Below are 26309 nucleotides of genomic sequence, written 5' to 3'. Positions count from 1 at the left end.
TACAAAAATGAGCTGGACGTAGTGGCACAAGCCTGTAGTCTCAGCTACTTGGGTGGCTGAGGCACGAGAATTGCTTGGGGAATCCAGGAGGTGGAGTTTGCAGTGAGCTAAGATCGCTCCACTGCACTCCAGCCTGGGCGAGAGAGCAAGACTCTATCTCAATTTAAAAAAAAAAAAAAAAGGCCAGACGCAGTAGCTCACGCCTGTAATCCCAGTACTTTGGGAGGCCAAGGGGGGGCGGATCACAACGTCAGGAGATCGAGACCATCCTGGCTAACACGGTGAAACCCCGTCTCTACTAAAAAATACAAAAAATTAGCCGGGCGTGGTAGTGGGCGCCTGTAGTCCCAGCTACTCGGGAGGCTGAGGCAGGAGAATGGCGTGAACCCAGGAAGCAGAGCTTGCAGCGAGCCAAGATTGTGCCACTGCACTCCAGCCTGGGCAACAGAGTGAGATTCCATCTCAAAAAAAATAAATAAATAAAAAGTAGACACGACCCAATATCCATTAAGTGATGAATGAACAAATAAAATGTGATGTATCCCTACAATAGAGTATCATTTGTCCATAAAAAGTAATGGAGCACCAGCACACACTACAACATGGATGATCCTTGAAAACATGATGCTAAGTGAGAGAAGCCAGGCACAAAAGGTCACGCATGACATGATTCCACTTACAAGAAATGTCCAGGCTGGGCACAGTGGCTCATGCCTGTAATCCCAACATTTTAGGAGGCTGAGGCAGGCAGATCACTTGAGGTCAGGAGTTTGAGATCAGCCTGGCCAACATGGCAAAACCCCATCTTTACTAAAACTACAAAAGTTAGCCAGGCCTGGTGGCATGAGCCTGTAGTCCCAACTACTCGGGAGGCTGAGGCATGAGAATCGCTTGAACTCTGGAGCTGGAGGTTGCAGTAAGCCAAGATCGTGCCACTGCACTCCAGCCTCGGCGAGAGAACGAGACTCCATCTCAAAAGAAAAGGAAGGGAGGGAGGAAACGTCCAGAGATCGGCAAATCCACAGAGACAGAAAGAAATAGATTCGTGATTGCCCCTCTGCATGGAGTGGCAGGGAGAGGAGGGAATAACTGCTAATGGTGATGGGGTTTCTTTTTTGGGTCATAGAAATGTTCTGCAATTAGGTCACGGTGATGTCTGCACAACACAGTAAATATACTAAAAGCCAACAAACTATATACTTTAAAATCATACATTTATACATGAATTATATACCAATTTTTTTTTCTTAGAGACAGGGTCTCACTCTGTCATCCAGGCTAGAGTGCAGTGGTGGGACCATAGCTCACTGCAGCCTCCAACTCCTGGGCCTCAGGGATCCTCCCGCCTCAGCCTCTTGAGTAGCTGGGACTACAGATGGGCACCACCATGCCTGGCTTCTATTTTTTGAGTCCTCCCTCATCTTCTACCTGCTCAGAAAACACCTAATGGGGGCCTCCCCAGCCCTACTCCATCTGGAGCCTCCACCTCCCCCTGATCTCACTGCCTGTTGCTCGTCCCCACCCACAGCCTCACCGCAGGGCCTTTGCACCTGCTGTTCCCTTTACTGGTGAAAGTTGTCTCTCACTTCCTTCTAGCTTTTGCTCAAATATTTCTTCCAGGTGAGGCTTTCCCTGACCCTATAGCTCCCCTACTCCCGGTCCTCCTGCCCCAATTTACTTTTCCCTTTAGCATTTATCACCATCTAACATAACTATTTTTTTCATGGCCGGGCATGGTGGCTCACACCTGTAATCCCAGCACTTTGAGGGGCCGAGGCGGACAGATCACAAAGTCAGGAGATCGAGACCATCCTGGCCAACATGGTGAAACCCCGTCTCTACTAAAAATACAAAAAATTAGCCGGGCGTTGTTGCGGGCGGCTGTAGTCCCAGCTACTCGGGAGGCTGCGCCAGGAAAACGGCGTGAACCCAGGAAGCGGAGCTTGCAGTGAGCCGAGATCGCGCCACTGCACTCCAGCCTGGGCGACAGAGCGAGACGACTCCGTCTCAAAAAAAAAAAAAAAACACAAAAAAAATAACATACTATTTTTCTCAACTTGTTTCCTGTCATCTTCCCCACCAGAATGAAACCTCCGGAGGACACAGGTTTTTGTCTCTTTTATTTGTCTTTCAATTCCCAGAGCCTAGAACAAAGTCTGGCAACTAATAGGTACTTGTGTTTCAAAGTTGGCCTTCCAACTCCCTCTCATCCCACAAATGCTTTTGCAAAAGGACCTTGCAGCAACTCCGGTGAAGAGGTGGGATCCAATTCTTCCCACTCCCGAATCTAGGCTGGCCTGTGACTTGCTTAGACCAATAGGATGTGATGGGAGCAAGGCTCTGTGACTCCCAGGTCTAGGCCTCGAGAGACCTCAAAGCTTCTGATTCACCCTCCGGGAAGCCAGAAGCCACATAAGGAAGTTCAGGCAGTATCACAGGGCAACTAGATTCAATAATAACTTAATTGTACATTTTAAAATAACTTAGAGGTCCTAGCCAGAGCAATCAGACAAGAGAAAGAAATAAAGGGCATCCAAACCAGTAAAGGGGAAGTAAAATTTGCTGTTTGCTGATGACATGATCGTATACCTAGAAAACCCTACAGACTCCTCCAAAAAGCTCCTACAACTGGTAAATGAATTCAGCAAAGTTTCAGGATATAAAAACCAATGTACACAAATCAGTAGACTGCTATACACCAACTGCAACCAAGCTGAGAATCAAATCAAGAACTCAACTTCTTTTGCAACAGCTGCAAAAAATAAAATATTTAGGAATATACCTAACCCAGGAGGTGAAAGACTTCTACAAAGAAAACTACAAAACACTGATGAAACAAACCACTGACGACACAAACAAATGGAAACATATCCCATGCTCATGGATGGGTAGAATCAATATTGTGAAAATGACCATACTGCCAAAAGCAATCTACAAATTCAATGTAATTCCCATCAAAATACCACCATCGTTCTTCATGGAACTAGAAAAAAAAATCCTAAAATTCATATGGAACCAAAAAAGAGCCCTCACAGCCAAAGCAAAACTAAGCAAAAAGAACAAATCTGGAGGCATCACATTACCTGATTTCAAAATATACTATAAAGGCTGGGTGCGGTGGCTCACACCTGTAATCCCAGCACTTTGGGAGGCCGAGGCGGGTGGATCGCTTGAGATCAGGAGTTCAAGACTAACCTGGCCAACATGGTGAAACCACGTCTCTACTAAAATACAAAAATCAGCCAGCCGTGGTAGTGCATGCCTGTAATCCCAGCTATTGGGGACACTGAGGCAGGAGAATTGCTTGAACCCAGGAGGTTGATGTTGCAGTGAGCTGAGATTGCGCCATTGCACTCCAGCCTGAGCAACAAGAGTGAAACTCTGTCTCAAAAAATTAAAAAAAAAAAATTAAAAAAATAGGCACATAGACCAATGGAACAGAACAGAGACCCAGAAATAAACCCAAATACTTACAGCCAACTGATCTTTGACAAAGTAAACAAAAACCAGAAGTGGAGAAAGGACACCCTATTCAACAAATGCTGCTGGGATAATTGGCTAGCCACATGTAGAAGAATGAAACTGGATCCTCATCTCTCACCTTATACAAAAATCAACTCAAGATGCATCAAACACTTAAATCTAAGACCTGAAACCATAAAAATTCTAGAAGATAACATTGGAAAAACGCTTCTAGAGATTGGCTTAGGCAAAGACTTTATGACCAAGAACCCAAAAGCAAATGCAATAAAAACAAAGATAAATAGGTGGGACTTAAACTAAAAAGCTTCTGCACAGCAAAAGAAATAATCAGCAGAGTAAACAGACAACCCACAGAGTGGGAGAAAATCTTCACAATCTATGCATCTGACAAGGGATTAATATCCAGAATACTAAGCAAGAAAAAAAAAATCCCATCAAAAAGTGAGCAAAGGACATGAATAGACAGTTCTCAAAACAAGATATACAAGTGGCCAACAAACATATGAAAAACTGATCAACATCACTAATGATCAAGGAAATGCAAATCCAAACCACAATGCGATACCACCTTACTCCTGCAAGAATGGCTATAATCAAAAAATCAAAAAATAACAGATGTTGGCATGGATGTGATGAAAAGGAACACTTTTACACTGTTAGTGGGAATGTAAACACTTTTAGGCTGTTAGTGGGGATGTAAACTAGTACAATCACTACGGAAAACAGTGTGGAGATTCCTTAAAGAACTAAAAGTAGATCTACCATTTGATCCAGCAATCCCACTCCTGGGTATCTTGAAGTCATTATATGAAGAAGATACTTGCACATGCATGTTTACTGCAGCACAATTAGCAATTGCAAAAATATGGAACCAGCCCAAATGCCTATCAATCAACAAGTGGATAAAGAATATGTGGCACAGCCGGGCGCGGTGGCTCACGCCTGTAATCCCAGCACTTTGGGAGGCCAAGGCGGGCGGATCACGAGGTCAGGAGATCGAGACCATCCTGGCTAACATGGTGAAACCCCATCTCTATTAAAAAATACAAAAAAAAAATTAGCCGGGCATGGTGGCGGGCGCCTGTAATCCCAGCTACTCGGGAGGCTGAGGCAGGAGAATCGCGTGAACCCAGGAGGCGGAGCCTGCAGTGAGCCGAGATCACGCCACTGCACTCCAGCCTGGGTAAGAGAGCGAGACTCCCGTCTGAAGAAAAAAAAAAAAAAAAAAAGAATATGTGGCATATATACATATAGATACCATGGAATACAACTCAGCCATAAAAAGAAATGAAATAATGGCATTTGCAGCAGCCTGGATGGAAATGGAGACCATTACTCTAAGCGAAGTAACTCAGAAATGGAAAACCAAACATCGTATGTTCTCACTCGTAAGTGAGAGCTAAGCTATGAGGACGCAAAGGCATAAAAATAATACAATGGACTTTGGGGACTTAGGGGAAAGGGTGGGAGGTAGGTGAGGGGTAAAAGACTGCACATTGGGTGCCATGTACTCTATTTAGGTGATGAGTGCTGCGGCAAAATCTCAGAAATCACCACTCACTAAAGAACTTATTCATGTAACCAAACACCACCTGTTCCCCAAAAACCTATTAAAATTAAAAAATAAAATAACGTAAAGTCCAGGTGCAGTGGCCCATGCCTGTAATCCCAGCACTTTGGAAGGCTGAGGCAGGCAGATCACTTGAGGTCAGGAGTTCAAGACCAGCCTGGGCAACATGGTGAAACCCCATCTCTACAAAAAAGTACAAAAATTAGCTGGGCATGGTGGCACATGCCTGTAGTCCCAGCTACTTGGGAGGCTGGGGTGGGAGGATCGCTTGAGCCAGGAAGCGGAGGGTGCAGTGAGCAAAGATTCTGCCACTGCACTCCAGCCTAGGTGACAGAGTGAGGTCCTGTCTCAAAAAAAATAGAAAATAACGTAACTTAAAGAGTGTAATTGGGCTGGGTGTGGTGGCTCACGCCTGTAATCCCAGCACTTTTGGAGGCCGAGGCAGGCAGATCACCTGAGGCCAGGAGTTCAAGACCAGTCTGGCCAACATAGTGAAACCCCATCTCTACTAAAAATACAAAAATTAGCCGTGTGTGGTGGTGCACACCTGTAATCCCAGCTATTTGGGAGGCTGAGACACAAGAATTATTTGAACCCAGGAGGTGGAGGTTGCAGTGACCCAAGATCTTGCCACTGCACTCCAGCCTGGGCAACAGAGTGAGACTCGGTCTCAAAAAAAAAAAAAAAAAAAAAAAAAAAGTATAAATGGACTGTTTGTAACTCAAAGGACAAATGCTTGAGGGGATGGACAGCCCATTCTCCATGATGTGCTCATTTCACCTTGCATGCCTGTATCAAAACATCTCATGTACCCCCTGAATATATATACCTACTATATACCCCCAAAAATTAAAAAATAATAATAATAAAATTTAAGAAAAAAAGAAGTCCAGGCAACTCTTCTGTAGAGGCCAGTGAGCGAGGCTCTAGAGGTTGAGAGGCCACATGGAGGAGAACTGAGATGTCCCAGCCAATAGCCAGCACCAACTGCTAGACACATGGGCAAGGCCATACTGGACTGCCAGGGTGGCCAATCCTCCAGCTGAATGCAGTTCATGCATGAACCCTATGAAATGGCAGATGCTTGAAGTTGCTAAGGTTTGGGATAGTTTGCTATCCAGTGATTGGTAATCAATACAGTGCTCATGAATATTCACTGCAGAAAAGAAAGGAAGATGAAAGGGAGAAAGAGAGAGAAGGGAAGGGGAGGACGTGTACTGCCTGGAAGAGCTGTGGCCTGAGAACAGCAGCCTGGGCGGCGCCTTAGTCCCAGCCTTGCATTTTATGCTGTGTGGTCTCAACTGCACCTCTCACCATCTCTGTGCTTCTGACTCCCCATTTGAAAATTGTGAGAAAAACAATCCACAGACTCTGTCTCATGACAGAAGCTAAGGAAGTCTAGTAAGTCGCTTCTCTGGGTCACTCCCAGTGAGATGCCACCTCCATTTAAAAGGACCCTACTAGGCTCTCCAAACTCAAATGACACCGAAGCCATGCAGGTAATAAATACAAGAGAAGTGGGCTGTGCTGAATACTGCTTTCTGCAAACTGTTTATGTTCAGTTTCCCACTTTTTTTTTTTTTTTGAGATGGAGTCTCGCTCTGTCGCCCAGGCTGGAGTGCAATGGCGCAATCTCAACTCACTGCAATCACTGCCTCCCAGGTTCAAGCAATTTTCCTACCTCAGAGCCTCCTAAGTAGCTGGGACTACAAGAGCACACCACCACGCCTGGCTAAGTTTTGTATTTTTAGAAGAGACGAGGTTTTGCCATGTTGTCCAGGCTGGTCTTGAACTACTGACCTCAGGTGATCCACCCACCTCGGCCTCCCAAAGTGCTGGGATTACAGGCATGAACCACCGCTTTGGCCAGTTTCCGACTTTTGACAGAGAGATTTTACTTCTAAGAAAAACAGCAGTGCAGGTGGGGTCATAAAGAGCAGCTGATGTTCAGCCTCCAGGTCAGGGAGACAACAGGGAGGGGTGGAGACTGTAGCAAACAGGAGACCCCAGGCCCTATTTAAATGGGCTGGCTGCTACTGGGCCCCAGCTTGTGCCAGGTAGGGATATGCCAACCCTGCTTTGTTCAAGACAAATGGCAATCCAGATGTTTATGCAAATTCTCTCGATTTGAAAATGTTCAAAACTAGCCTGATAAGTTAAAAAACACTATGACAGCCAAATAAAACTGTCTGTGGGCTGAATGTGGCCTTCAAGTCTCTGGCCAATCTGTGTTTTTAAAACACAAACACACATGAAATACCAGAACAGGCAAATCTATAAAGATGGGAAGGAGATTCGTGGTGGGGGTTGGGGAATGACAGATAACGGGTGCAGTGTTTCCTTTTGGGGTCATAAAAATGTTCTAAAATTGGTTGTGGTTGATGGTTGTACAACTCTGTGAACATGCGAAAAGCCATTAAATTATACACTTTAAACAGGTGAATTATATGTATGCAAATCACATCTCAATAATGCTGCTTAAACAAATACACACACACACACACAAATACTGAAGAATCTTAGCATAGCAAGGTCCATTCAGCCCAGGCAGAAAATCATCCTCATCTCTATGCACAAGATGAAAGCGATGAAATGAAGGTTGAAAGATCCCGGAAGCCAGGGAGCAAATGAGGTGATTCTCTGAGTAGCGTTAGGTTTGAACTGCAAACCAGGAAGGAGTTGGCAGGTTAAACAACGACCCACTGCCCAGAGAAGAAACTCGGGAACTCGTTCCTCTCAGGTCCCCAAAGCAACACAGAGTTCCCATCCTGGTCCCAAAAGGATGCTTGATCTTGAAGTTTGAGTGTCCAGAAGGGGCTGACTACTCTGCTCTAAAATCATGCAGACCCTGACTTCCAGGAAGGTTAATTTGGCAACAGTAACGAACATTTAAAATGCATGTGCTGTCTATGGCCATACTGCCCTAAACGCACTCAATCTTGTCTAAAATGCATGTGTCCTCAGACACAGTAATACACCTCCTAGGTATTTATCCTACATATTTGCATAAATGCAAAATGATGTATGTGCAGAGATATTTATTGCAGGACACTCTGTGACAGCAAAAAATTCCACATAACTTAAATATCTGTCAACAGAGGAATGGTTACCTAAAGTGTCATTCAGACAAACAATGAAATTCTGTCTAACTGCTGAAAATAATCAGGTAGCTCCTGTGCATTCATATAAAAAGGTCTCCAAAACATGAGTGAAAAAAGCATGAGGCCGGGTGCAGTGGCTCATACCTATAATCCCAGCACTTTGGGAGGCCCAGGCGGGCAGATCACTGGAGGTCAGGAGTTCGAGATCAGCCTGGCCAACATGGTGAAACCCCGCCTCTACTGAAAATACAAAAATTAGCCAGGTATGGTGGCAGGCGCCTGTAATCCCAGCTATTTGGGAGGCTGAAGCAGGAGAATCGCTTGAACCCGGGAGGCAGAGGTTGCAGTGAGCTGAGATCGCGCCATTATACTCCAGCCTGGACAACAAGAGCGAAACTCCATCTCAAAAAAAAGAAATCCAGATCCCCAGGCCCACACGCTCTGCTTCATGGGATCCTCCCTAAAATTCATTTTCTACCAGCCCCCAGAGTGATTTTCCAACAGACCAATCAGACCAGGTCACTTCCAGGCTTAAAATCCTCCTGGAGAGCTTTTATAATTCCAATGGCCAGGCTGCACCCACATGAATTAAATCAGAATACTCAGGGATGGGGGCAAGCAATCAGTATTTTTCTCTCTCTTTTTTTTTTTTTTTTTTTGGGAGTCTAGTCTCACTGTCTCATTTTGTCCCCAAGGCTGAAGTACAGTGGTGCGATCACAGCTCAGAAGCTGGGACTACAGGTGTGTGCCACCACACCTGGCTAATTTATTATTTTATTTTGTAGAGACATGGTCTTGCTATATTGCCCAAGCTGGTCTTGATCTCCTGAGCTTAAGCAATCCTCTCGCTTCAGCCTCCCAAAGTGCTGGGATTGAAGGCATGAGATACTGCATCTGACCCCAGCTAGTATTTTTTAAAGATCCTCAAATTATGCCAAAGTTTGTAAAGTTTGAGAACTATAATCTATATTAGTGCTCCCAACCATGCCTATACCCCACCCCACCCGAGAAACTGATTTAATTGAATCTCCTGTTTATAGATGCATGAAAATACATATTTTTGCCTTCTGTTTTTATTTACAGAAAACGGCAGCACACACACATGCCCCTTGCACCTCTCACTCAGCACTCTGTGCTGAACGCTGCTGTGCATGGGCAAAAGCAGCGCTGACTCCCGCTGCAGCCGCTACTGCTCCACTCATCAGAAGAATCGCTATGGCACTGGCCCGCACTGATGGGCACTGGGCTATTTCTAATCTTTGGGAACGTGTTTTGTTTTTGAGACAGAATCTTGCTCTGTGGCCCAGGCTGGAGTGCAGTGGCGCGATCTTGGCTCACTGCAACCTCCACATTCCGGGTTCGAGCGATTCTCATGCCCCAGCCTCCCGAGTAGCTGGGACTGTAGGTGCATACCGCCACAGCTGGCTAATTTTTGTATTTTTTGTAGAGACTGGGTTTTGCCATGTTGGCCAGGCTGGTTTCAAACTCCTGGCCTCAAGTGATTGCCTGCCTCAGCCTCCCAAAGTGTTGGGATTACAGGCATGAGCCACCATGGCCAGCCAACGTGTTTTGTTTTGTTTGTTTTTTGAGATGGAGTCTGGCTCTGTCACCCAGGCTGGAGTGCAGTGGCACAATCTCGGCTCACCACAAACTCTGCCTCCCGGGTTCAAATGATTCTCCTGCCTCAGCCTCCCAAGTAGCTGGGATTACAGGTGCCCACCACCATGCCCAGCTAATTTTTGTATTTTTTTAGTAGACATGGGGTTTCACCATGTTGGCCAGGCTGGTCTGGAACTCCTAACCTCAAGTGATCCACCTGCCTCGGCTTCCCAAAGTGCTGGGATTACAGGCGTGGGCCAACATGCCTGGCCTAACGTGTTTGTTTTAAGGCCTCTGTGTGACGCTGAAGCTGGGCCGGATGGGAGACCTTCATCCAAGGCTCTAGGCAGACCCTCACCTAAAGCAAGGCCATGTCCTGTGAGGAGAGGCTGCCAGAGCCCTGAGGAAGGCTCCCCCCACTCCTGGGCAGGTTTTGTGGGTAGAAAGTCAGGCACATCTGAGAAAAGCTGCCTCTCCCAGCACCTGCCTTGCCCCTGGCTCCTCATGCCCCGGAAGGTTCTGATGCAGGGAGGCGGCCAGCTCAGTCCTTGTCCACCTGGATGGCGCAGCATCCGTCTCTGGTCTCCCTGCTGCCACTGCGGTCCCCCCAGTACATTCTAACACCGCAGCCACGTGGCCATGAATCTTTTCATTTATTATTTTTGAGACAGGGTCTTGCTCTGTCACCCAGGCTAGAGTGTAGTGGCACTCATAGCTCACTGCAACCTCAAACTTCTGCACTCAAGCGATCCTCTTACCTCAGCCTCCCAAACTGCTGGGACTACAGGCATGAGCTACCACACCTAGTACAAGTCGATAAATCAGAACCTGTCCTTCATGCATGACCCTAGAACAGAATTCAGACTCCCCCCCTGGGGACCCAGGCCCTGGTGTGGCCCTGTCTACCTCCCCCCACACCCCTGTGGTCACTGAGGTCCCTCCACTCAGGCACCTCCCGGTCCCTCATCTTTCCCCTGTGGCCGGGCATCTGCTGTCAGATCTTTGCCCTCCGGTCCTTCCCATCCTCCTTCCCCTCAGTCCCTATCACCCCTCAGGTGTCTCCTGTGTGGCATTTATCAGCATTTAGTCACTCTGTTTGTCACTAGTCTGCTTAGCTTCCTCCCCACCTGCAACACCAGGTACCATGCCTGTCTTGCTGGTCTCGCCCAGTGCCTACAGCAGAATGGCACAATGCAGGTTTGCCATACAATTTAAGGAAGAGGCCAGGTGCGGTGGCTCATGCCTGTAATTCCAACACTTTGGGAGGCTGAGGTGGGCAGATTGCTTGAGCCCAGGAATTCGAGACCAGCCTGGGCAACATAGCAAGACCCCATCTCAAAACAAAATTTAAGGAATAAATATTGGAACTACATCTTTGAGACAGTAGACCATACCCTGGAGTCCCCCTAAGAGACTTTTTTGTTTTTTGTTTTTGAGACAGAGTCTCACTCTTGTCACCCAGGCTGGAGTGCAGTGGCACAATCTCGGCCTCACTGCAACTTCCACCTCCCGGGTTCAAGCAATTCTCCTGCCTCAGCCACACAACTACCTGGGATTACAGGCACCTGCCACTACGCACAACTAATTTTGTATTTTTAGTAGAGACAGGGTTTCACCATGTTGGCCATCCTGGTCTCGAACTCCTGCCCTCAAATGATCCACCCGCCTCGGCCTCCCAAAGTGCTAGAATTACAGGCATGAGCCATGGCGCCCGGCCCCCCATCACAGACTTCTAATCCAGCATCCCAAACTTGAATGCCCAAAGGGGACCAGCAGGTCACAAAAGGATGCGACATGTTAGGAAGTTTCCCACAGGTGTGCCGTGTTTGCAAGTTGGATGTAACATTCTTAGCTTCTGCAAAGAAAACTCCTCTCCCACATTTTTCTTGAAACTCAAGGCCATCTTTGGCTAATTTACATTTTTCTACTTTTGTCCAGGTACAGAGTTTGGAGAAATATTTCTCTTTTCTCTCATCCTGACTATAGAAAAATCAAAAGTTCGCCAGGCGCGGTGGCTCATGCCTATAATCCTAACACTTTGGGAGGCCGAGGCAGGTGGATCACCTGAGGTCACAGGTTCGAGAGCAGCCTGGCCAACATGGCGAAACTCTGTCTCTACTAAAACTACAAAAATTAGCCGGGCGTGGTAGTGCATACCTGTAATCCTAGCTACTTGGGAGGCTGAGGCAGGAGAATCGCTTGAACCCAGGAGGCGGAGGTTGCAGTGAGCTGAGTTTGCGCCACTGCACTCCAGCCTGGGTGACAAGAACAAGGCTGTCTCAAAAAAAAAAAAAAAAAAAAAGGGATGTTCAAACCAGAAAGAGGGGTGGCAGGGAACTAGTTGAACAGAAAACCCGAGGCCCTGGAAACAGTAACTCACCTGCCAACCCAGCTCAAGGCACCGCCCCTCAGCAGCTCCTCCATCTGGGGAAAGCAGTGTGAAGTCCAGGCAGAGCTTGTGCCCCTTCACTTGCCCCATCTCCTGCTGCTCCCCCTCCCACCAGCTGCTCTTCTCTCCATCCCCCAAAAACCCCCTGCTTCATCCCATCCCAGGGCTTTTGCAAGAACTGTTCTCTCTGCCTGGGATATTTTTCTCCTCAGCCAGCCAACTCCTACTCAGGCTCAGGGCTCATCCTAAGACAATGCTGCCTCAGGGAAGACCTCCATGACTGCACCCAGACAATAACCTTCTATTCACCCTCCTGAGTCTCTATGCACACACAGGTGCCCTATCTCACATCCGCCCATGTCTGTGCTTTGTAACATTCATTACAGTTTAGAGGTTTTGTTACGGTTTCATTTTGTTTTGTTTTTTGAGATAGGTCTCACTCTGTCGCCCAGGCTGGAGTGCAGTGATGCGATCTCAGCTCACTGCAACCTCCACCTCCCAGAGCCCAGGTGATCTTCCCATCTCGGCCTCTCTAGTAGCTGGGACCAGGGGCACATACCACCACGCCCAGCTAATTTTTGTAGAGACGGGATTTTGCCATGTTGCCCAGGCTGGTCTCGAACTCCTGGGTACAAAGGATCCGCCCACCTCAGCCTCCCAAAGTGCTAGGATTACAGGCGTGAGCCACTGTGTCTGGCCTTGTTATGTGTTTATTGTCTGGCAGTGCCACAGGGGAAGGGCCTCATGTGTCTCACTGCCTGTGGCGTCCCCAGCTCCAGGAAAGACTTGGCACATACCGAGGCTGAAGGTGCTGAATGAAGCAGGCCCCACTTCACAGGGAGGCCCAGGCCCCCTAAGGCCGGGGTTGGCTGGACTGAGATTTCTGCTGCTCCATGGAAGCGGCAAAAGTGCCCCCGGGAGACAGGCTGGTTGGGAGGAGGCTGCTGTCCAGGTCTGTTCGCAAACTAGGTTTTCCTTTTCCTGCTCATGTGCCCACCTGGAAACTGTTCCAGCTTGGGGATCTGGTAATGAATTAAGCTTTAAAAGTGGAGGCTGCATGTGACTCTGCTCTGGCGCAGTTTCTGTTTCTTTTGGTAAATAAACTTCAACAAGTGCTTTCAGTGGGTTATGGCTGCATGGAGCTACAGGGAGTTGGGGCTCTTTATTACAAATCCCTTACAAATGAGCATAAGCAAACCCGTGACTGAGTTAAAGACAGCCCTGAGTGAGAAAATGAAATGAATACACGCAGTTTCTCTTAAAGACTATTCCTAATAGAGACAAAATGAAGCTGGGGCTTAGCCACTGGGCACAATGACATGTCGCTGCTGAGAGTAAGGGAGAGAAGGAACAAGAAATGCACTCAGGATGCTAAAGGCAGTGAAAAGTCGCAGACAACCTAAATGTCTGTGCCTGAGTCCCTGGGACACTAGACCAAAGTATGCTTGGGGAGCGTGGAGCCTCCCCCAGGACCCTGCCTGGCAAAACGCACCAGCCCTGAACCATTTATGAATGATTCATAAATTACGGTCCATCCACATGAAGTCATTTATGCCATGAGAGCCTCTGTTTGCTGACCTATAAAATCAACATAACACCATCCCAGTCACCAGGTCACTGCCGTGACACAATGACATAAGCCATGAACACAGTTTAGCAAACTGGTGCCACACAGTATGTGCTCAGGAATGGGAGCAATTACTATTTCATCATGGGACACTAGGAAGGCAGAGGGTGACGGAGACCTAGGCTCTCCAACATGGCAGCCACGCGTCTCATGGGACTACTGAACACTTCAAATGTGCCCAGTCCAAGCTGAGATGGACTGAAAGTTCAGTATCAAAAGCCTGATTTTGAAAACTCAGGACAAAGAACAGAATGTAAAATTTCATTAACTTTGTACTAGTGATCATATGTTGAAATATTTTGGATATGCTTTTTATTTTTATTTTTTTATTAACTAGAGACGGGGGCCTCACTATGTTGCCCAGGCTGGTCTTGAACTCCTTGGGCTCAAGTGATCCTCCAGTCTTGGCCTCCCAAAGTACTGGGACCACAGGCGTAAGCCATTGCTCCTGGCCCAGATATACTGTTATTTTAAATATATTGAAATTAATTTCACCTGTTTCTTTTCTTTTTTAATTCTTTTGGGTTTTTTTTGTTTGTTTGTTTGTTTTGAGACAGAGTCTCACTCTATTGCCCAGGCTGGAGTGCAGTGGCATGATCTCGGCTCACTGCAACCTCCACCTCCCAGGTTCAAGCGTTTCTTATGCCTCAGCCTCCCAAGTAGCTGGGATTACAGGCTCATGCCACCACATCTGGCTAATTTTTGTATGTTTAGTAGAGACAGGGTTCCACCATGTTGGCCAGGCTGGTCTCAAACTCCTGGCCTCAAGTGATCCGCCTGCCCTGGCCTCCCAAAATGCTGGAATTACAGGTATGAGCCATGGTGCCTGGCCACCTGTTTCTTTTTCATGTGGCTCCTAGAACACTAAAAATTGCGTAGGTGGCCACGCACAGTGGCTCACACCTGTAATCCCAGCACTTTGGGAGGCCGAGGCGGGCAGATCACCTGAGGCTAGGAGTTCGAGACCAGCCTGACCAACATGGAGGAACCCTGTCTCTACTAAAAATACAAAATTCGCTGGGCGTGGTGGCGCATGCCTGTAATCCCAGCTACTCGGGAGGCTGAGGCAGGAGAATCGTTTGAACCCAGGAGGTGGAGGTTGCGGTGAGCCGAGATCACACCATTGCACTCCAGCCTGGGCAACAAGAGTGAAACTCTGTCTCAAAAACAAAAAAAATTGCATAGGTAGCTCACATTTGTAGCTCCAATTATATTTCTATTGGACAGTGTTTATGGATACATGCTCATGTTATTTTTAATTTTTAAATTTTTGTTCGTGTTATTTTTAATTTTTTATATTTTAACATTTTTTTGTAGAGACAGGGGTTTCCCTGCGTTGCCCAGACTGGTCTTGAACTCCTGGTCTCAAGTGATCCTCCCACCTCAGCTTCCTAAGTCGCTGGAATTACAGGCATAAGCCACTGTACCCTGCCTCCATGCTATTTTTTTAAATTGAGATATAATTCACAAACCACAAAATTCACCCTTTCAAAGTGTACGATTCAGCAGTTTTCAGTATATTCACAAATTTGTGCAACCAACACAACTATCTAACATCCAGAACATGTTCATTACACCAAAACGAAGCCCCATACCTTCCCATTAGTAGTCCCCACACATTTTTCCATGCTATTTTGAGTAAAGAAAAGCAAGTTGCAGGACAGTATTACAGCAGCAAGTGAGGTTTCATTTAAAACTAATATAGATGGGCCAGGCATGGTGGTACATGCCTATAATCCCAGCACTTTGGGAGGCTGAGGCCAAAGGATCTCTTGGGCCCAGGAATTCAAGACCCGCCTGGGCAACATAGTGAGATCTCGTCTCCACAAAATAACTTTGTTTTAAAAGTTAACCTGACATGGTGGTGCGCACCTGTGGTCCTGGCTATGCGGGAGGCTGAGGTGGGAGGATCACTTGAGCCCAGGAGGTTGAGGCTACATTGAGCTATGATTGTGTCACTGCACTCCAGCCTGGGTGACAAAGTGAAACCCTGTCAAAAAAAAAAAAATTAAAAACGTCTGTTCAAAAATTATTTTAAAAATATGTGGAGATGGCTGGGCGCTGTGGCTTACGCCTGTAATCCCAACACTTTGGGAGGCCGAGGAGGGTGGATCACGAGGTCAAGAGATAGAGATCATCCTGGCCAACATGGTGAAACCCCGTCTCTACTGAAAAATACAAAAATTAGCTGAGCATGGTGGCACACGCCTGTAGTCCCAGCTACTCGGGAGGCTGAGGCAGGAGAATTCCTTGAACCTGGGAGGCGGAGGTTGCAGTGAGCTGAGATCATGCCAATGCACTCCAGCCTGGTGACAGAGCAAGACTCCATCTCAAAAAAAAAAAAAAAAAAAAAAAAAATATATATATATATATATATATATATATATATATATGGAGAAAAAGAAAAAGAAAAAAGAGAAAACTCATATATATGTATATATATATATATGGAAAGATATTTTATGGTTTTTTTTTTTGAGAGGGAGTTTTGCTCTTGTTGCCCAGGCTGGAATGCAATGGCTGATCTCAGCTCACTGCAGCCTCCGCCTCCCAGGTTCAAGCGATCCTCCTGCCTCAGCCTCCCAAGTAGCTGGGATTACACACCCGGCTAATTTTTGTATTTTTAGTAGAGACGGGGTTTCACCATGTTGGTCAGGCTGGTCTCGAGCTCCTGACCTCAGGTGATCCACCCGTCTCGGCCTCCCAGTAGTGCTGGGATTACAAGCGTGAGCCACCAGGCCTGGCGAGATAGATTTTTTTTTAAATGTCTCACTCTGTCGCCCAGGCTGGAGTGCAGTGGCATGATCAAGCCTCACTGCAGCCTCACTCTTCCCCGTCCCCTATCCCCATCCCAAGCAATCCTCCTGCCTCAGCCTCCCAGAATGCTGGGACCACTGGCATGAGCCAATACTCTGCCTAGGCAGATACAGATATCTACATTTGTAAATGCATTTTAAATGTCCGGAATGATTTATACCAAACAGTTAATGCTGGTTTTCTAAGAAAACTAGAATTGGGGTGGGAGAGAAAAGAGAAAGGGGTGCATAGCCTTTATGTTAAATACTCCTGTACTGCTTTTGTGGTTTAAAAAGAGAATGGGTTGAATTTCTGACCGTAAATAACTCCTAGTGAACTCAGACAAATAACTTTTTCACAACAGCGTCGACAGATGCCTCCAGCCGGAAGGTAGAGGGTCTCGTTTTAGATCTGCTTTTCACTTGGTGCTTTTAAAATAGAAAGCGCAGACAGAGGCGTGGTGTTTTCGCTCCGAGCTGCAGCAGCGCAGCGCGGCCCGCACAGCCGCAGCCTGAGGCGCCGCTCGGCCCGGGCACCGCTCGGAGGTAGCCGGGGCAGCAGAGGTCCCGGGGTCCGCCTCTCCCAGGGCCGGCCTGGCAAAGGGCGGCGCCTGAGGACCCGGCGGATGCTGGGGGACCCGGGTGGGGAGGGAAAGCGAGCCTGGGCCTCCGGGGCCCGGTGTCGCCCGGAGGAGCGAGCAGGGACGACCCGCTGCACATCTCTGCGTGGCGCCCCGCAGCCACCCTTCAGGAAGGGGGGAATCCCCGGGCCCCCCACTCCGGGAGCGAGAGGATGCTCCGGGGAAGCCGAGGGTCCGGAGCCCGGACCCCTAACCGCGAGAACCCTCTCCTCCAACTCCACAGCCCCGTCCCCTACCTCGGCCCCAGGCTCGGGGGTCAGGAAGAGCGCGAGCTCGCGCGCCCCGCTGCGCATGGGCTCCGGCTGATCAGCGTCCACGAGCAGCATCAGGAGGGCGACGGGGTCCGGCTGGCGGAGGCTGCCTGGGAGCCCGTGGTTGCGCCCGGGCCTCGGAGCCCCGCCCCCGGTCCGCTGCATGCCCCGCGGACCGCCTGGCGGAGGCGGGGCAGGTGCGCTCCCGGCGGTCGCGGCTCGCAGCTCCAGGAGCGCCGGGCCGAGCGGGCAGCGCCACCCAGTGGCGAGCGGCGCGCGCTGCGCCCGCCCCCGCAGCACCTGGGCATCAGTGCTTTGCAAACTCGCTTGCAGATGGCAGTCACCTGGAGCTCTTTTAGAATTTCCCAAGCCTGGACCACACCGTCTCTGGGTTAAGACCTGGGCATCAGGATCTTTTGATGTTTGTTAGGTGGTTCCAACCAGATTGTTGACCCAAAGCTAAATTTGAGAACTATTGGGGCAAGCCACCCCTCCCCATCGGAATCCCGGTAGAGTACAGGCTCCCGGCCCCGGACCCGGCCGTAAAATAGAATCCCCGGGAAGCTTTTAAAAGCCCGGAAGCCAGGCCTCGCACCAGGCCGATTAAGTTGGAATCCTTCGGAGTGGGGCTTGGGCATCGGTAGTTTCTAAAACTCCCCGGGTGATTCTAACGGGCGTCCGGGTTAGAGAGGCGCTAGCTTAGAGGAAGCCCAAAGCCGCCCGCCCCCCACCCGTTCCCATCCTACTAAAGCATCTAGTTTGCATCGGGCGGAGGGTCCTGGAATTTAGGGAAGGCCGAGTGTGACGGTCCTCGTCTTCCTCTTCGGTGCGGATTTTAAAATAAACTTCACCAGGAAACTATTGAGCGCACTACATTTCACAACCGCACCCACTCCCTCCATGCCCTCGGAGGCCGGCCTAGATAGACCCTTTACAAGCCTTGGGGCTGAAGAGAGCGAGGTGCGCCTCATCTCCCACCCCAACAGTGCTAATGAGGAAAGTACTAAAAGGCAAATAGGTATAAGACAAGTCTGAAGTTTTGATTTTTCGTTTGATGACTTATTTTTATTTTTAATTAATTAATTTTTTTTTTTTGGAGACGGAGTCTCGCTCTGTCGCCCAGGCTGGAGTGCAGTGGTGCGATTTCGGCTCACTGTAACTTCCACATTCCGGGTTCAAGCAATTCTCCCCCTCCCTCAGCCTCCCGAGTAGCTGGGATTACAGGCGCCTGTCACCACGCCCGACTAATTCTAATTTTTGTATTTTTTAGTAGAGACGGGGTTTCGCCATGTTGGCCAGGCTGCTCTCGAACTCCTGACCTCAGGTGAGCCACCTGCCTCGGCCTCCCAAAGTGCTAGGATTACAGGCGTGGGCCAGCGCCCCCTGCCTGCTGACTTTTCTTTAAATGTTAAATCGCCTCACAAAAAAAAAAAAAAAAAAAGGCTGAGCTGCTTGGGCAAACATAAGGAGACTCCATCTCTCTAAAAGAAAAAAAAAAATTAAAATTGCAGGATGTGGTGGGGCACAACTGTAGTCCTAGCTACTGGAGAGGCAGATGCAGGAGGATTGTTTGAGGCCAGGAGTTCAAGGCTACCGCGAGTTATGATCGCACCACTGCACTCCAGCCTGTGTGACACAGTGAAACTCTGTCTTTTGTTGTTGTTGTTGTTTTTTAAAAAGGAGGGGCTGGTATCAAGGGTGCAAATAAATATATAGGACGTCCCACACCTTCCTCTCCATTAAATCTGAATTTATATTGTAGTTGGCCACCCTAGGTAGGGGCCTAAACAACACATGTTTGACCTGCCTTTTGTGTAGTCCATCACTGCACAATTCCCACTTCCAAATCTGTCCACTGCTAATTTCTCCCTATCCAAATATCCAGGCCTTCAGGCCAGTCATTTTCTGGAAAATTCTTGGCAAAGACTTGGGCCTCAAGTGCTTAAGGGTTTTATAGGAACTCACTGAGCCCACACTCGGCCATTCGTCATTGTCATGATTTCCCTGATGCTCTGAGCCCTCCTCGCCATCCCCTGGGAGCCGGTCTCAGACCCTTGCCCTTGCCTGCTGGCTAGGCATCTCCCACAAAGAGCCCAGGACTGGCCTCAGATCACCAAATTGACCTGAGCACAGCAAACTTCTCCTGGTGGATAAATCTCAGAAACATAAAGCTAAGGAAGAAAAGTCGTGTTGCAGAAGGCTCTGTAGGGCACTGTGCCATTAGCACAGTTTTTAAAACACGCAGAACCACACTGTATATTGTTTATGGACACCGACAGATGGAGCAAAAGTACAAAGCTGTGCATGGGAACGACGTACCCCATGTTCCAAAAGTGGTTACTTTAGGGCGGGGGAGAAGAAACTGGAGAGGGGTATGGGAGGGAGGGATTTCTTTTTCTTTTCTTTCTTTCTTTCTTTTTTTTGTTTTTTGACAGAGTCTTGCTTTGTTGCCCAGGCTGGAGTGCAGTGGCACAATCTCGGCTCACTGCAAGCTCTGCCTCCCGGGTTCAAGCGATTCTCCTACCTCAGCCTCCCCAGTAGCTGGGATTACAGGAACAAGCACCACCAAGCCTGGCTAATTTTTGTATTTTTAGTAGAGACAGGGTTTCAACATGTTGGCCAGGCCAGTCTCCAATTCCTGGTTTCAAGTGACCCACCAGTCTCGGCCTCCCAAAGTGCTGGGATTACAGGAGTGAGGCACTGCACCCAGCCCAAGAGGGATTTAATATATATATATTTTTTGAGACAGAGTCTCGCTCTGTCGCCCAGGCTGGAGTGCAGTGGCACGATCTCAGCTCACTGCAACCTCTACCTTCCAGGTTCAAGTGATCCTCCTGCCTCAGCCTCCTAAGTAGCTGGGATTACAAGCACATGCCACTACGCCTAATATTTTTTTTTTTTTTGAGACGGAGTCTCTGTAGCCCGGGCTGGTGTGCAGTGGCGCAATCTCGGCTCACTGCAACCTCCTTCTCCAGGGTTCAAGTGATTCTCCTGCCTCAGCCTCCCAAGTAGCTGGAATTACAGGTGCCCACCACCACGCCTGGCTAATTTTTGCATTTTTAGTAGAGACGGGGTTTCACCATGTTGGCCAGGCCGGTCTCGAACTCCCGACCTCAGGTGATCTGCCCGCCTCAGCCTCCCAAAGTGCTGGGATTACAGGCATGAGCCACCGCACCCAGCTACGCCTGACTAATTTTTGTGTTTTTAGGAGAGACGGGGTTTTGCCATGTTGGCCAGGCTGGTCTTGAACTCCTGACGTCAGGTGTTCGGCTGAGAGGGATTTCAATATTCGGAATGTTTTATTTCTTCGGCTGATGTTTGTAGCAATACCAAAACTGTATGAATGTCTAAAATGACTCATTTAAAAAAAAAAAAAAAAAGCCAGGCTGGCATGGTGGCTCACGCCTGTAATCCCAGCACTTTGGGAGTGGGAGGCCGAGGCGGTCGGATCACATGAGGCCAGGAGTTTGAGGCCAGCCTGGCCAACAGGGCGAAACTCCTGTATCTACAAAATATACAAAAGTTAGACAGGAGTGGTGGCACACGCCTGTGGTCCCAGCTACTCGGGAGGCTGAGGTGAGAGGACCACTTGAGCCTAGAGGTCAAGGCTGCAGTAAGCCGAGATCATTCCACTGCACTGTAGCCTCGGTGACAGAGCCAGGCCCTGTCTCAAAAAAATAAAATAAAAAAAGAAAAAGGAAATTGCCCATATGAAAAAAAAAAAAAAAGCCTGGGATATTAGCTAAAAGTGCTGATTACCCAAATCCTCTTCCCTGGGGAAAGAGGAGGTCTGGGGAAGGGGTCTCTGTGTCCTTCACAAGTGTCCCAGCGATTCATACCCTGGGCCAGGTTGGCTGGTTGACAATCATTTTGTTTCTAGCCTTTTTTTCTGAATATGTGATTGTACCTTAGAAATATTTTGCTAAAAATATGGATGCCCAGAAGCCCACCCCAGACGTTCTGAATCAGGATCTTTGGTGAGAGGGGGCACTGGGCCTCCGCATTTAACAAGCTCTGCTTCGATTCTAATGCACACTGATGTCTGGGAATAACCCTATCCAGGGGCTCCGCCGCGCTGCCAGCCTTAGTCAGGGACCCCCATGGGAGGCCAAGTAAATGATTTTACACAAAGAGGACTGAGTTTTTAAACATCTCCCCAGCCTCTCAGGGTGCTGGGCTCCTGCCCGGGGGCCCTGCCCCTGCTGCTCCCTGCCCTAGGTCCGCAGCCCTTGGGGAGGCCCCGGACAGCCGCGAGCCTGAGGCCTGGAATGCAGCCCGCCCAGGCCGCACCCTGCCCAAACCAGTTTGAACCAGCTGCAGGGATGGAGCCGTGGCGCGTCCCCACGAGCTCCCTCTGGTGCCCAAGCCGGGCTCAGAGCTGCTGCTCCCGCCTCCTGCTCTGGAGGCCTCCTCGGGTGCAGACAGTGGCTCCATCCCAGCCTGGGGGGAGTGGGGGTGCCAGTGGTTGCCAGGCTCGAAGGCCCGTGGGAGCCGTAGCCCCCTGCTGGGTCCCAGGTCCCACACCCTTCTGCCCCCACGCCATCTGCTTCACCTCTAGCTACAAAATGACTGCCTGTCTGTGTCTTTTTAAAGTCAGTTCTCCCAGCGCAGGCCTCAGGCACACAAAGTTCTAGACCAGACAGTTCCCAAACGTGGCTGCATATTGAAAACTCCTGGGAAACTTCCAGAAAATACTGATGCTCAGACCCCACCCCCAGAGGCTGTGACTTAATTTATGGTGTGGGGTGTGGCCTTGGCTTTGAGAGTTTTAAAAGGTGCTCCTAGGTGGTTCCGATCGACAGTGTTTCAGCACTGGCATAGCTTTGTCTGGGACCCCGATCTCTAAAACCATATTCGTTGTTAATGTGTCCTGAGCCCTTACTATGTGCCAGGCACTGTTCTAAGCTCTTTGCATAGATGCCCTCACTGGATCCCCACCACACCCTGTGAGGCAAGTAGGTCCTGGGACAATCACCACTGTCTAAAGAACACGTGACAGGCGGTGGCTCACACCTGTAATCCCAACACTGTGGGAGGCTGAGGGGGAAGAATCGCTTGGGACCAGGAGTTTGAGACCAGCCTGGGCACCTCTCTCTGAAAAAATAAATAAAATGTGAAGTCGCTCTCCTACTTAGTGTGTTTCCCCACTAGTGAAATAATTTCAAGCACAACCCATCTACATAGAAGCATAGTTTAAAAACAGGTATTGGCTGGGTGCGGTGGCTCATGCCTGTAATCCCAACACTTTGGGAGACTGAGGCGGGTGGATTGCTTGAGGTCAAGAATTCGAGACCAGCCTGGCCAACATGGTGAAACCCCGTCTCCAGTAAAAATACAAAAATTAGCTGGGCTTGGTGGTGCTTGCTCCTGTAATCCCAGCTACTCAGGAGGCTGAGGCAGGAGAATCTCTTGAACCTCGGAGGCAGAGGTTGCGATGAGCCGAGATTGTGCCACTGCACTCCAGTCTGGCCAAGAGAGTAAGATGCTGTCTCAAACAAACAAACAAACACCCCAACACCACCACCAACAATAAAAACCCAGATATTAAAAAACATTTTTGGGCCAGGCACAGTGGCTCACGCCTGTAATCCCAGCACTTTGGGAGGCTGAGGCGGGCGGATCACCTGAGGTCAAGAGTTCCAGACCAGCCTGGCCAAGATGGTGAAACCCCATCTCTACTAAAAATATAAAAATTAGCCGGGCATGGTGGCAGGCGCCTGTAATCCCAGCTACTGGGGAGGCTGAGGCAAGAGAATCGCTTGAACCAGGGAGGTGGAGGTTGCCGTGAACCAAGATCGCGCCATTGCACTCCAGCCTGGGGGACAAGAGCGAGACTTCATCTCAAAAATAAATAAATACATAAACGAACATTTTTGGCCACCCAAGGTGGGTAGGTCACTTGAGCTCAAGAGTTCAAGACCAGCCTGGCCAACATGGTGAAACCCCATCTCCACAAAAATTACAAAAATTAGCCAGGTATGGTGTCATGCACCTGTAGTTCCAGGTACTCAGGAGGCTGAGGCAGGAGGATCACTTGAGCCTGGGACATTGAGGCTGCAGTGAGCCGTGATCACACTACTGCATTCCATCCTGGGTGAGAGAGCGAGACCGCCATCTCAAAAAAAGAAACAAAAACCATTTTTATGTCATAATTTTGAAATGTTCACTACAGTAACAGGAAACAGCAATCGCAGCTTCCCATTCTCTCCCTGATAAGGAAAGCTTCTACATCTCTGCAGTCATTTGAGTAGTTTTTCTCTACTCCTTTCCCTTCCACAGCAGAGCCACATAAAGGGTCTTGCAGCTTTAGAGGCAAGAGGCCACAGGGCAAGATTCCAAATGCTCCCTGAGTGTCGCGTTTAGCCTTACGGCAGAGCTTCCTTGGCCTTGAGAAGCGAGAGGAGAGTCACTTAGTTGGAGGGCGAAGGAATGTTCTCCCTTCCAGCTACCGAAATTGTGTCCCTACTTGTTTTCTCTGCGTCTATCTAAACAGTAAGTGGCAGAAACTACTGGCCAGATACAGGGACATCAGAGGTTCCCCAAGGTGTGAATTTCAGTGCTGTCCGTGGATTCTCATTCACTGCTCTCAGCCACCTCTGGGTGTTACAGGTGTTACCCCTCATCCAAAACCGCTAGGGCCAGACGTGTTTCAGAATCTGAGCTCTGTGGATTGTAGAAGGCTAATACAAAGCACATACAAGTCCCATGGGAGCTGGGGCAGCATCCTCTTATCTGATCGTATTTCTCAGCAAAGTGTGTGGATATTCACCTTAAATGAGCTAAATAGAGGCCTTAAATAACCTCCCGTCTCTTCACCTCAGTGAATTTCTGCCAAACTGATGGGAAAGAAAGCTAACGGTTTTGGCGTTTCCTGGATTTCAAAATTATAAAAAAGGAATCGACTTGCTTCCCAATCCCACAGCTGGAGAAAATGAGGCCCCCACACATAACCGCTGAGTGGAGCAGTTGAGCTTTGCACCTATTATATCACATAGAGATAGATCAGAATCTGCAAGAAAATTGCTAAACACCCTAGTAAAAAACCGTATTCTTTAGACTATTTGAGACATTTGTTTTCTTGTTTCAGAAACTTGAGTTTTTGTTCATTAAGATTCTAAGAACTTCTTTCTCTCTTCTTTCAGCAAGATTCTTTTCTTTTTTTTTTTTTTTTTAAATAAGTCGGGGTTTCACCATGTTGGCCAGACTGGTCTCAAGCTCCTGACTTCAGGCGATCCACCCGCCTAGGCCTCCAAAAGTGCTGGAATTACAGGCATGAGCCACCGCAACCGGCCTTTCATTAAATTCTAAGGACTTATTTCTTTCTCTCTTTTCTTTCTCCCTTTCTCTCTCCTCCCTTCCTTCCTTCCCTCCCTCCCTCCCTCCCTTCCTTCCTTCTTTCCTTTCTCTCTGCCTTGACTTTCTTGCCTTGACAGGGTCTCACTCTGTGGCCCAGGCTGGAGGGCAGTGGCCCTGATTTCGGCTCACTGCCACCTCGACTTCCTGGGCTCAACCAATCCTCCCATCTGAGCGTCCCAGGTAGCTGGGACTACAGGTACGCACCACCATGCCCAGGTAATTTTTGTAGAAACGGGGTTTCACCATGTTGCCCAGGCTGGTCTCGAACTCCTAAGCTCAAGCCATCCTCCCACCACAGCCTCCCAAAGTGCTGGGATTACAGGCATCAGCCATCACACCTGGCCTTTCATTAAAATTCTAAAGACTTCTTTCTTTCTCTCTTTTCTTCCTCTCTCTCTCTTTCCTTCTCTCTCTCTTTCCTTCTCTCTCTCTTTCCTTCTTTCTCTTTCTCCTCTTTCTCCTCTTCTCTCTCTCTCTCCCCACCCACACCTTTCCTCTCTCCCTTTCCTTTCCTTTCATTTTTTTTTTTTTTTTTTTTTGTGGGATGGAGTCACTCTTTCACCCAGGTTGGAGTGCAATGGCACAATCTCAGCTCACTGCAACCTCTGCCTCCCACATTCAAGTGATTCTCCTGCCCCAGCCTCCCAAATAGCTGGGACTACAGGTGCACGCCACCACGCCCGGCTAATTTTTTTTGTATTTTAGTAGAGACAGGGTTTCACCGTGTTGCCCAGGCTAGTCTAGAACTCCTGAGCTCAGGCAATCCACCCACCTCGGCCTCCCAAAGTGCTGGGATTATAGGCATGAGCCACTGTGCCCGACCTTTTCTTTTCTTGCCTTGACATGGTCTCACTCTCTGTGGCCCAGACTGGAGTTCAGTGGCACTGATTTCGGCTCACTGCAGCCTAGACATCCCAGCCTCAACCAATCCTTCCACCTCAGCCTCCCAGGCAGGTGGGACTACAGGCGCACACCACCACGCCCAGGTAATTTTTGTTAGAAACACGGTTTCACCATGTTGCCCGGGCCGGTCTCAAACTCCTGAGCTCAAGCCATTCTCCCACTGCAGCCTCCCAAAGTGTTGGGATTACAGGCATGACCCACCGTGCCCAGCCTCAAAGGACTTTTCCATCTCTGGAGTCCATGGCATGGCATTCTGTGTTCTTTGTAAATGAGATGCTGCTCTATGTGAAATCTGCCGCCATATCAATAACATAAAAAGCTGAGCTGGGCCTCTGGTTGAAACAATGACCAAAAGCAACCACATTAAAAAATTTAGCCAAAAAAAAAAACTTTTTTTATTGCATTTACCTTAATGAGGATGTGGGAAGCCTTGTTTTCAGTAGTTCACGTGACAAACACAGATCTTTTAAAGGGACTCTGAGTTCAATTTAAGGCAATGAAATAATATAGCTGCTAAAAAGCAAATGGGAATGAGGATGTTTACTAAGAAGAATACAGAATGCAAAGCAGAGGGGCCAAGAAAGAATGATCCCT

The 26309-nt window shown here is 48.6% G+C and overlaps 1 protein-coding gene across 7 annotated transcripts in view, besides 8 other annotated features; it reads right to left on the bottom strand.

Annotated features, from left to right (window-relative positions):
* The window catches only part of BCAS4 (breast carcinoma amplified sequence 4), an 87783-nt gene extending 70062 nt beyond the window's left edge, over nucleotides 1–17721 (bottom strand). For 6 of the 7 annotated variants that reach the window (XM_011528887.3, XM_011528886.3, NM_017843.4 and 3 more), the window contains exon 1: nucleotides 17442–17721. In XM_011528887.3, coding sequence (XP_011527189.1) covers nucleotides 17442–17621 — 180 coding nt within the window. In that variant the 5' untranslated portion in view covers nucleotides 17622–17721. The remainder of the gene's footprint in view (nucleotides 1–17441) is intronic. The other variant, NM_198799.4, reaches the window with a different exon arrangement.
* Nucleotides 218–267: a silencer, noted in NCBI's record as "silent region_13027". NCBI's record gives its function as "represses an Ori minimal core promoter by ATAC-STARR-seq in GM12878 lymphoblastoid cells {active_cell/tissue: GM12878}" and the evidence as "EXISTENCE:reporter gene assay evidence [ECO:0000049][PMID:35858748]".
* Nucleotides 2283–2342: an enhancer, noted in NCBI's record as "active region_18099". NCBI's record gives its function as "activates an Ori minimal core promoter by ATAC-STARR-seq in GM12878 lymphoblastoid cells {active_cell/tissue: GM12878}" and the evidence as "EXISTENCE:reporter gene assay evidence [ECO:0000049][PMID:35858748]".
* Nucleotides 12285–12394: an enhancer, noted in NCBI's record as "active region_18098". NCBI's record gives its function as "activates an Ori minimal core promoter by ATAC-STARR-seq in GM12878 lymphoblastoid cells {active_cell/tissue: GM12878}" and the evidence as "EXISTENCE:reporter gene assay evidence [ECO:0000049][PMID:35858748]".
* Nucleotides 12935–12994: an enhancer, noted in NCBI's record as "active region_18097". NCBI's record gives its function as "activates an Ori minimal core promoter by ATAC-STARR-seq in GM12878 lymphoblastoid cells {active_cell/tissue: GM12878}" and the evidence as "EXISTENCE:reporter gene assay evidence [ECO:0000049][PMID:35858748]".
* Nucleotides 13015–13124: an enhancer, noted in NCBI's record as "active region_18096". NCBI's record gives its function as "activates an Ori minimal core promoter by ATAC-STARR-seq in GM12878 lymphoblastoid cells {active_cell/tissue: GM12878}" and the evidence as "EXISTENCE:reporter gene assay evidence [ECO:0000049][PMID:35858748]".
* Nucleotides 13625–13704: an enhancer, noted in NCBI's record as "active region_18095". NCBI's record gives its function as "activates an Ori minimal core promoter by ATAC-STARR-seq in GM12878 lymphoblastoid cells {active_cell/tissue: GM12878}" and the evidence as "EXISTENCE:reporter gene assay evidence [ECO:0000049][PMID:35858748]".
* Nucleotides 17002–17821: a silencer, noted in NCBI's record as "silent region_13026". NCBI's record gives its function as "represses an Ori minimal core promoter by ATAC-STARR-seq in GM12878 lymphoblastoid cells {active_cell/tissue: GM12878}" and the evidence as "EXISTENCE:reporter gene assay evidence [ECO:0000049][PMID:35858748]".
* Nucleotides 21640–22325: an enhancer, noted in NCBI's record as "H3K27ac-H3K4me1 hESC enhancer chr20:49406827-49407512 (GRCh37/hg19 assembly coordinates)". NCBI's record gives its function as "activates a minimal SCP1, AML or CMV promoter by ChIP-STARR-seq in primed H9 embryonic stem cells {active_cell/tissue: H9 hESC(primed)}" and the evidence as "EXISTENCE:reporter gene assay evidence [ECO:0000049][PMID:30033119]".

The sequence above is a fragment of the Homo sapiens genome, chromosome 20 (genome assembly GCF_000001405.40).
Source record: "Homo sapiens chromosome 20, GRCh38.p14 Primary Assembly".
NCBI classification, from domain to species: Eukaryota; Metazoa; Chordata; class Mammalia; order Primates; family Hominidae; genus Homo; species Homo sapiens.
Note: the sequence above shows the minus strand (reverse complement) of the source record. Positions and strands in the feature narration are given on the sequence as shown.